The sequence below is a fragment of the Homo sapiens genome, chromosome X (assembly GCF_000001405.40).
Source record: "Homo sapiens chromosome X, GRCh38.p14 Primary Assembly".
Classification (NCBI taxonomy): Eukaryota; Metazoa; Chordata; class Mammalia; order Primates; family Hominidae; genus Homo; species Homo sapiens.
Window position 1 is genome coordinate 137,074,019 of NC_000023.11, and position 8,073 is coordinate 137,082,091.

Consider the following 8,073-nt stretch of genomic DNA (forward strand, 5'->3'; position numbering starts at 1 on the left):
CACTCCAAATCAAAGGCCAAATAGCAACTGGTTTCCACTTATAGCCCTTCCAGGGTCTATGAATGTCTCTTGGAGAGTGCACACTTTCTGGAACTTATCATTACACTTTGAGGAATTTTTCAGGGAAAAGTTTTTCAATTCAGAAAGAAACCTGATTTCTCATTGCCTGTTCACCACAAAATTTTGAAAGGGCAAACCAAATGCTAAATGTTGAAAAGGAGGAAGAAACCCAATTGTCAAATTGCCTTCAGAGTCTGTCGCACATTCCTTTGAATCTCCTCAGTGGTGACAAATCTTTGTCCTCAGAATAGGCTATATTTGAACAAACAGCTAGAAGTCATCAGGGCCCACACTGGTGGATAAGGTGGGTAATCATGCTCGGTGATGAATGTTTTGGATTTAGAAAGGAGCTGTGTCTCTCTGGGAAGGACTTTCTTGTGTGGCTTAAAAGTGAGTTTTGGAGGACATTGTGACAAAAAGTGCAGCAGAAAGTTTGGAGCACTGTTTATGTCCTTGAAATCAGTGTATATCCTCCCATGGGTACAACTCAGAGTGGTATCATTCACTTGGTTTTGGTGGTTGGTTGAAAAACAGAAACCATATTTGACTTTGTATTCATCTGTTATATGAATGTGGGATATAACACCTGGAGCTCTTTATAATATTTGCCCATTCTGAAAACACAATTCTTGTTTTTTTAAATTTTGTTTTATTATTATTATACTTTAAGTTTTAGGGTACATGTGCACATTGTGCAGGTTAGTTACATATGTATACATGTGCCATGCTGGTGTGCTGCACCCATTAACTCATCATTTAGCATTAGGTATATCTCCTAAAGCTATCCCTCCCCCCTTCCCCCACCCCAAAACAGTCCCCAGAGTGTGATGTTCCCCTTCCTGTGTTCATGTGTTCTCATTGTTCAATTCCCACCTATGAGTGAGAATACGCGGTGTTTGGTTTTTTGTTCTTGCGATAGTTTACTGAGAATGATGATTTCCAATTTCATCCATGTTCCTACAAAGGACATGAACTCATCATTTTTTATGGCTGCATAGTATTCCATGGTGTATATGTGCCACATTTTCTTAATCCAGTCTATCATTGTTGGACATTTGGGTTGGTTCCAAGTCTTTGCTATTGTGAATAGTGCTGCAATAAACATACGTGTGCATGTGTCTTTTTAGCAGCATGATTTATAGTCCTTTGGGTATATACCCAGTAATGGGATGGCTGGGTCAAATGGTATTTCTAGTTCTAGATCCCTGAGGAATCGCCACACTGACTTCCACGATGGTTGAACTAGTTTACAGTCCCACCAACAGTGTAAAAGTGTTCCTATTTCTCCACATCCTCTCCAGCACCTGTTGTTTCCTGACTTTTTAGTGATTGCCATTCTAACTGGTGTGAGATGGTATCTCATAGTGGTTTTGATTTGCATTTCTCTGATGGCCAGTGATGGTGAGCATTTTTTCATGTGTTTTTGGCTGCATAAATGTCTTCTTTTGAGAAGTGTCTGTTCATGTTCTTTGCCCACTTTTTGATGGAGTTGTTTGTTTTTTTCTTGTAAATTTGTTTGAGTTCATTGTAGATTCTGGATATTAGCCCTTTGTCAGATGAGTAGGTTGAGAAAATTTTCTCCCATTTTGTAGGTTGCCTGTTCACTCTGATGGTAGTTTCTTTTGCTGTGCAGAAGCTCTTTAGTTTAATGAGATCCCATTTGTCAATTTTGGCTTTTGTTGCCATTGCTTTTGGTGTTTTAGACATGAAGTCCTTGCCCATGCCTATGTCCTGAATGGTAATGCCTAGGTTTTCTTCTAGGGTTTTTATGGTTTTAGGTCCAACTTTAAGCCTTTAATCCATCTTGAATTAATTTTTGTATAAGGTGTAAGGAAGGGACCCAGTTTCAGCTTTCTACATATGGCTAGCCAGTTTTCCCAGCACCATTTATTAAATAGGGAATCCTTTCCCCATTTCTTGTTTTTCTCACGTTTGTCAAAGATCAGATAGTTGTAGATATGCGGCGTTATTTCTGAGGGCTCTGTTGTGTTCCATTGATCTATATCTCTGTTTTGGTACCAGTACCATGCTGTTTTGGTTACTGTAGCCTTGTAGTATAGTTTGAAGTCAGGTAGTGTGATGCCTCCAGCTTTGTTCTTTTGGCTTAGGATTGACTTGGTGATGCGGGCTCTTTTTTGGTTCCATATGAACTTTAAATTAGTTTTTTCCAATTCTGTGAAGAAAGTCATTGGTAGCTTGATGAGGATGGCATTGAATCTATAAATTACCTTGGGCAGTATGGCCATTTTCACGATATTGATTCTTCCTACCCATGAGCATGGAATGTTCTTCCATTTGTTTGTATCCTCTTTTATTTCATTGAGCAGTGGTTTGTAGTTCTCCTTGAAGAGGTCCTTTACGTCCCTTGTAAGTTGGATTCCTAGGTATTTTATTCTCTTTGAAGCAATTGTGAATGGGAGTTCACTCATGATTTGGCTCTCTGTTTGTCTGTTATTGGTGTATAAGAATGCTTGTGACTTTTGTACATTGATTTTGTATCCTGAGACTTGGCTGAAGTTGCTTATCAGCTTAAGGAGATTTTGGGCTGAGACAATGGGGTTTTCTAGGTATACAATCATGTCGTCTGCAAACAGGGACAAGTTGACTTCCTCTTTTCCTAATTGAATACCCTTTATTTCCTTCTCCTGCCTAATTGCCCTGGCCAGAACTTCCAACACTATGTTGAACAGGAGTGGTGAGAGAGGGCATCCCTGTCTTGTGCCGGTTTTCAAAGGGAATGCTTCCAGTTTTTGCCCATTCAGTATGATATTGGCTGTGGGTTTGTCATAGATAGCTCTTATTATTTTGAGATACGTCCCATCAATACCTAATTTTTTGAGAGATTTTAGCATGAAGGGTTGTTGAATTTTGTCAAAGGCCTTTTCTGCATCTATTGAGATAATCATGTGGTTTTTGTTTTTGGTTCTCTTTATATGCTGGATTACATTTATTGATTTGCATATATTGAACCAGCCTTGCATCCCAGGGATGAAGCCCACTTGATCATGGTGGATAAGCTTTTTGATGTGCTGCTGGATTCGGTTTGCCAGTATTTTACTGAGGATTTTTGCATCAACGTTCATCAAGGATATTGGTCTAAAATTCTCTTTTTTGTTGTGTCTCTGCCCGGCTTTGGTATCAGGATGATGCTGGCCTCACAAAATGAGTTAGGGAGGATTTCCTCTTTTTCTATTGATTGGAATAGTTTCAGAAGGAATGGTACCAGTTCCTCCTTGTACCTCTGGTAGAATTCGGCTGTGAATCCATCTGGTCCTGGACTCTTTTTGGTTGCTAAGCTATTGATTATTGCCACAATTTCAGCTCCTGTTATTGATCTATTCTGAGAGTCAACTTCTTCCTGGTTTAGTCTTGGGAGAGTGTATGTGTTGAGGAATTTATCCATTTCTTCTAGATTTTCTAGTTTATTTGCATAGAGGTGTTTGTAGTATTCTCTGATGGTAGTTTGTATTTCTGTGGGATCGGTGGTGATATCCCCTTTATCATTTTTTATTGCATCTATTTGATTCTTCTCTCTTTTCTTCTTTATTAGTCTTGCTAGCAGTCTATCAATTTTGTTGATCCTTTCAGAAAACCAGCTCCTGGATTCATTAATTTTTTGAAGGGTTTTTTATGTCTCTATTTCCTTCAGTTCTGCTCTGATCTTAGTTATTTCTTGCTTTCTGCTAGCTTTTGAATGTGTTTGCTCTTGTTTTTCTAGTTCTTTTAATTGTGATGTTAGGGTGTCAATTTTGGATCTTTCCTGCTTTCTCTTGTGGGCATTTAGTGCTATAAATTTCCCTCTACGCACTGCTTTGAATGTGTCCCAGAGATTCTGGTATGTTGTGTCTTTGTTCTCGTTGGTTTCAAAGAACATCTTTATTTCTGCCTTCATTTTGTTATGTACCCAGTAGTCATTCAGGAGCAGGTTGTTCAGTTTCCATGGAGTTGAGCGGTTTTGAGGGAGTTTCTTAATCCTGAGTTCTAGTTTGATTGCACTGTAGTCTGAGAGACAGTTTGTTATAATTTCTGATCTTTTACATTTGCTGAGGAGAGCTTTACTTCCAACTATGTGGTCAATTTTGGAATAGGCGTGGCGTGGTGCTGAAAAAAAATGTATATTCTGTTGATTTGGGGTGGAGAGTTCTGTAGATGTCTATTAGGTCTGCTTGGTGCAGAGCTGAGTTCAATTCCTGGATATCCTTGTTAACTTTCTGTCTCGTTGATCTGTCTAATGTTGACAGTGGGGTGTTAAAGTCTCCTATTATTATTGTGTGGGAGTCTAAGTCTCTTTGTAGGTCACTCAGGACTTGCTTTATGAATCTGGGTGCTCCTGTATTGGGTGCATATATATTTAAGATAGTTAGCTCTTCTTGTCGAATTGATCCCTTTACCATTATGTAATGGCCTTCTTTGTCTCTTTTGATCTTTGTTGGTTTAAAATCTGTTTTATCAGAGACTAGGTTTGCAACCCCTGCCTTTTTTTGTTTTCCATTTGCTTGGTAGATCTTCCTCCATCCTTTTATTTTGAGCCTATGGGTGTCTCTGCACATGAGATGGTTTTCCTGAATACAGCACACTGATGGGTCTTGACTCTTTATCCAATTTGCCAGCCTGTGTCTTTTAATTGGAGCACTTAGTCCATTTACATTTAAAGTTAATATTGTTATGTGTGAATTTGATCCTGTCATTATGATGTTAACTGGTTATTTTGCTTGTTAGTTGATGCAGTTTCTTCCTAGTCTCGATGGTCTTTACAATTTGGCATGATTTTGCAGTGGCTAGTAATGGTTGTTCCTTTCCATGTTTAGTGCTTCCTTCAGGAGCTCTTTTAGGGCAGGTCTGGTGGTGACAAAATCTCTCAGCATTTGCTTGTCTGTAAAGGATTTTATTTCTCCTTCACTTATGAAGCTTAGTTTGGCTGGATATGAAATTCTGGGTTGAAAATTCTTTTCTTTAAGAATGTTGAATATTGGGCCCCTTCTTCTGGCTTGTGGAGTTTCTGCGGAGAGATCCACTGTTAGTGTGATGGGCTTCCCTTTGTGGGTAACCCAATTTTTCTCTCTGACTTCCCTTAACATTTTTTCCTTCATTTCAACTTTGGTGAATCTGACAATTATGTGTCTTGGAGTTGCTCTTCTCAAGGAGTATCTTTGAGGTGTTCTCTGTATTTCCTGAATCTGAATTTTGGCCTGCCTTGCTAGATTGGGGAAGTTCTCCCAGATAATATCCTGCAGAGTGTTTTCCAACTTGGTTCCATTCTCCCCGTCACTTTCAGGTACACCAATCAGATGTAGATTTGTTTTTTTCACATAGTCCCATATTTCTTGTAGGCTTTGTTCGTTTCTTTTTATTCTTTTTTCTCTAAACTTCCCTTCTTGCTTCATTTCATTCATTTGATCTTCCATCACTGATATCCTTTCTTCCAGTTGATCGCACTGGCTCCTGAGGCTTCTACATTCTTCACGTAGTTCTCGAGCCTTGGCTTTCAGCTCCATCAGCTCCTTTAAGCACTTCTCTGTATTGGTTATTCTAGTTATACATTCGTCTAAATTTTTTTCAAATTTTCAACTTCTTTGCGTTTGGTTTGAATTTCCTCCTGTAGCTCAGAGTAGTTTGATCATCTGAAGCCTTCTTCTCTCAACTCGTCAAAGTCATTCTCCATCCAGCTTTGTTCCATTGCTAGTGAGGAGCTGCAGTCCTTTGGAGGAGGAGAGGCGCTCTGCTTTTGAGTTTCCAGTTTTTCTGCTCTGTTTTTTCCCCATCTTAGTGGTTTTATCTACTTTTGGTCTTTGATGATGGTGATGTACAGATGGGTTTTTGGTGTGGATGTCCTTTCTGTTTGTTAGTTTTCCTTCTAACAGACAGGACCCTCAGCTGCAGGTCTGTTGGAGTTTGCTAGAGGTCCACTCCAGACCCTGTTTGCCTGGGTACCAGCAGCAGTGACTGCAGAAGACCAGATTTTCGTGAACCGCGGATGCTGCTGTCTGATCGTTCCTCTGGAAGTTTTGTCTCAGAGGAGTACCCGGCCGTGTGAGGTGTCAGTCTGCCCCTACTGGGGGGTGCCTCCCAGTTAGGTTGCTCGTGGGTCAGGGTTCAGGGACCCACTTGAGGAGGCAGTCTGCCCGTTCTCAGATCTCTAGCTGCATGCTGGGAGAACCACTGCTCTCCTCAAAGCTGTCAGACAGGGACATTTAAGTCTGCAGAGGTTACTGCTGTCTTCTTGTTTGTCTGTGCCCTGCCCCCAGACGTGGAGCCTACAGAGGCAGGCAGGCCTCCTTGAGCTGTGGTGGACTCCACCCAGTTCGAGCTTCCCCGCTGCTTTGTTTACCTAAGCAAGCCTGGGCAATGGCGGGCGCCCCTCCCCTAGCCTCGCTGCCGCCTTGCAGTTTGATCTCAGACTGCTGTGCTAGCAATCAGCGAGACTCTGTGGGCGTAGGACCCTCCGAGCCATGTGCGGGATATAATCTCCTGGTGTGCTGTTTGCTAAGACTGTTGGAAAAGTGCAGTATTGGGGTGGGAGTGACCCGATTTTCCAGGTGCCCTCTGTCACCCCTTTCTTTGACTAGGAAAGGGAACTCCCTGACCCCTTGCACTTCCCGAGTGAGGCAATGCCTCGCCATGCTTTGGCTCGCGCATGGTGCGCTGCACCCACTGTCCTGCACCCACTGTCTGGCACTCCCTAGTGAGATGAACCCGGTACCTCAGATGGAAATGCAGAAATCACCCGTCTTCTGCGTCGCTCACGCTGGGAGCTGTAGACCAGAGCTGTTCCTATTCAGCCATCTTGGCTCGAGCTCCGTTTTTTTTTTTTTTTTTTTTCCTGAGACAGGGTCTCTCTTATGTCACCCAGGCTGGAATGCAGTGGCATGATCATGGCTCACTGCAGCCTCCATTTCCCAGGCTCAAGTGATTCTCCCACTCAGGCCTCCCTATTAGCTACCATAGGCTCTGCCACCACACCTGGCTAATTTTTAAATTTTTTGTATGGACTGTGTCTCATTACTTTGGTAAGGCTGGCTTCAAACTCTTGGTTTCAAGCAATCTTCCCACCTCAGCCTCCCAAAGTGTTGGAATTACAGGCGTGAGCCACCACATCCAGCCTGAAAACACAATTCTTAGGGGTGATGTGGGAAAGCAGAAAGGATCAGACAGACCTAGTTTCACTTACTAGTTCTGTTGAGTTTTGAGCTAATTTTCTTTATCTGTAAAGTGAGGTAACAGTAATACCTACTTCACAATATAGTACTTTTTATGAGTATTGAAGGAGACCATGTACATAAAAAAATGTAGTGCCATGCCTGGCACATATTAAGGACTCAACTAATTGTAGCTATCATCATCGTCATCATCATCATCATCATCATCATCATCATCATCATCACTGCTGCTGCTATTACTACTATTAAGCAAACATCCAATGGTCAAGAAATGATTAGAGGACTATTTTGTAAGCATCCACTGATAGGATGGCACTGCTTCAGGCAGGGGATGTGGGAGTGGAGGAGGGAGAGGCAAGGTCTTGGGCAGACGAAACTATGAGGACAGAATGAAGGTGATTTGGGACTGCCCATCTCCGTCTGTTTGTGGGATTTCCATTTTTAGCAGGTAATGTTTGTTTTTTAGGGAAGTTGGTAATGAGAGATTTGTTTAGAGTTTATTATGTAAATGGTTAGGGGTCAAAAAACCATATTGATATTCCCCTCAATTAGGCTGGAAATATTTAAAACATTTGGACAATTAACTGCCTTGTTTATATGAACACTATAATAAATTAAAACATACCAGACTGGTCAGAAATCACCACACAAAAACAAATAAACAAACGAAAAACCCAGGATCAACAAGGTGAAATTTTAACTGGAGCTGAGATTTTTTTTTCTCTCCAAGTCACTCTGTGCCCATCAATTTTGTGCTGTTAGGTCACTTTTGCCTTGGAGTCCCTTTTTTTAAACTGATGAGTTTTACAGTAATGAGGATATTTAAAAGTAGGCTCTGGGGTTTAAAAAATGTGTT

General features: G+C 41.3%; 2 annotated features.

Annotated features, from left to right (window-relative positions):
- Positions 5,944-6,445: an enhancer, noted in NCBI's record as "H3K4me1 hESC enhancer chrX:136162121-136162622 (GRCh37/hg19 assembly coordinates)". NCBI's record gives its function as "activates a minimal SCP1, AML or CMV promoter by ChIP-STARR-seq in naive H9 embryonic stem cells {active_cell/tissue: H9 hESC(naive)}" and the evidence as "EXISTENCE:reporter gene assay evidence [ECO:0000049][PMID:30033119]".
- Positions 6,446-6,945: an enhancer, noted in NCBI's record as "H3K4me1 hESC enhancer chrX:136162623-136163122 (GRCh37/hg19 assembly coordinates)". NCBI's record gives its function as "activates a minimal SCP1, AML or CMV promoter by ChIP-STARR-seq in naive H9 embryonic stem cells {active_cell/tissue: H9 hESC(naive)}" and the evidence as "EXISTENCE:reporter gene assay evidence [ECO:0000049][PMID:30033119]".